Here is a 2,385-nt window from a genome sequence, read left to right on the forward strand (position 1 = left end):
AGCCTCCCAAGTAGCTGGGATTACAGGCACCCACCACCATGCCTGGCTAATTTTTGTATTTTTAGTAGAGACGGGGTTTCACCATGTTGGCCAGGTTCGTCTCAAACTCCCGACCTCAGGGGATCCGCCTGCCTCAGCCTCCCAAAGTGCTAGGATTACAGGTGTGAGCCACCATGCCCAGTCACCAATTCTTGATAAATCACAGCTGGATCTGACTTCTTTCTTGCACTTCTAGCCAAAATATTAATACTGTTGCAAACATCTATTATACTTGAGCATCTATCTTATCTTGAACCTGAAATTATACGTTAGGATTTCATCATCCACTGAATAATTAAGGTCACCAGAAGTCAGATAATGAACATGCTTTGCTCCTGGGCCTTGTTTTGATGCATTTTGCATGGAAAGTGCTCTCAAGGTCAATTTCTTGCAGAATGTCTGCCTCATATCCTTGAATCTGCAAAGAATCTTGCTAGAAATGTGGATGTAACATTTTTGGCTTGATATGATATATCTCAACCCCTGGTCTGTAGAATGGTGTGTTTTCTATGTTATATTGACCCACTTCAAAGAACTCCATTTTTCAGATTGAACTTTATATTTGAATATGCTATTGCAATTAAGAGACGTCAAAGAGGAAATTGGCTGTCACAAGAGGGTACTGTGGTAGGTTGAAAAATGGCCACCCAAAGATATGTCCATGTCCTAATCTCCAGAAACCGTGAATTTTACCTTGAGATGAGGAGATTATCCTGGATTATCCAAGTGGAACCTAAATGCCACCACAAGAGTCCTCATAAGAGAAACACAGAGGAAGATTTGGCACAGACTCACAGATGAAGACAAAGATTGAAGTGATGGGGCCACAGCCAAGAAAGTCAAGGAATGCCAATAGCCTCCAAAATCTGAAAGAGACAAGTAAGGATTCTCTGAGACACACACAGAGAGAGAGAGAGATACTGATTGATTGATTGATTGATTGATTGATTGATTTTAAGGAACTGGCTCATGTAATTGTGGGAGCTGGCAAATCTTAAATCTGCAGGATAGGCCAGCAGGCTGGAGACCCAGGGAGAAGTCAGTGTTGCAGTCTTAAGTCCAAAGCAGTCTGGAGGCAGAATTTCTTCTACCTGGCTGGGTACAGTGGGTCACGCCTGTAATCCCAGCCCTTTGGGGGCACCGAGGCGGGCGGATCACCTGAGGTCAGGAGTTTGAGACCAGCCTGAGCAACATGGAGAAATCCCGTCTCTACTAAAAATACAAGAATTACCTGGGTGTGGTGGTGCATGCCTGTAATCCCAGCTACTCAGGAGGCTGAGGCACAAGAATTGCTTGAACCTGGGAGGCGGAGGTTGCAGCGAGCTGAGATCGTGGCATTGCACTCCAGTCTGGGCAATAAGAGTGAAACTGTCTCAAAAAAAAAAAAAAAAAAAAAAAAAGAATTTCTTCTATCTGAGTGGAATTCAGTCTTTTCTCTTAAGGCCTTCAACTGATTAGATGATGCTCATGCATATTATGGAAGGTAATATGCTTTACTCAAAGTCTACAGATTTAAATGTTAATCATATCTAAATAATACACACCTTCACAGTAACATCTAAACTGGTATTTGATCAAATAACTACATACTGTAGCCTAGCCAGATTGGCACATAAAATTAACCATCACACTGTCTTGTCTATTCATGATAGGACTCCTATCAACAGAAAGAGAGTGCAAAGAGTAGACTCCAGCTCTTCAGAGAAGGAAGCAGAATTAAGGACACAGAGAAACCAAGCCTGGGAATTGTCAAAGATTATGGAGAGAAATGGGGACTGCTCAGGATTGAGCCCTGGAAATATCTACAATATTTAAAGTGGGGTCAGGGCTTAGAGAAAAGGGTTTTTCATAAGCTTCAACCTCAAATGTAGTTGCAACCTACTGATCTCTCTATATTTGACATTAAGATGCAGGTGGCTGTCCAGTGGGATTGCCAACAGCTGGAACCATAATTTCAACCAGCTGAGTGACAGATAGCCGATGTATATCCAGCAGCACAACTTCTGAGCCGTGACATCAATAAGCACAGGGAGACAGGATCAATAAAAATTCCAAAACCAAGATGACTGGAGTGAATTCCAAATAAAAAGGTGATATCTAAGGAATTAAAACCACGCAGAGGGAAAGGCAAAATCAGAGTTGTATCTTTAAGATTTTGTTGACTTGGAGGTGAGGTGGGTAGTGAATAAACATGCCTTGACTTGTCTAAAGTATTATTTGTTCTTCTGGACAGGGTGAGAATTGGGACCTTTTGCAAGTTTCTTGCAGGAAATAAAAAGCATACAGCAAAAGTCTACAACTTTCATGATAGACTTTGTGGACAAGTAGAGTTGCTTTAGTACCCAG

Source organism: Homo sapiens, chromosome 5 (assembly GCF_000001405.40).
Source record: "Homo sapiens chromosome 5, GRCh38.p14 Primary Assembly".
Classification (NCBI taxonomy): Eukaryota; Metazoa; Chordata; class Mammalia; order Primates; family Hominidae; genus Homo; species Homo sapiens.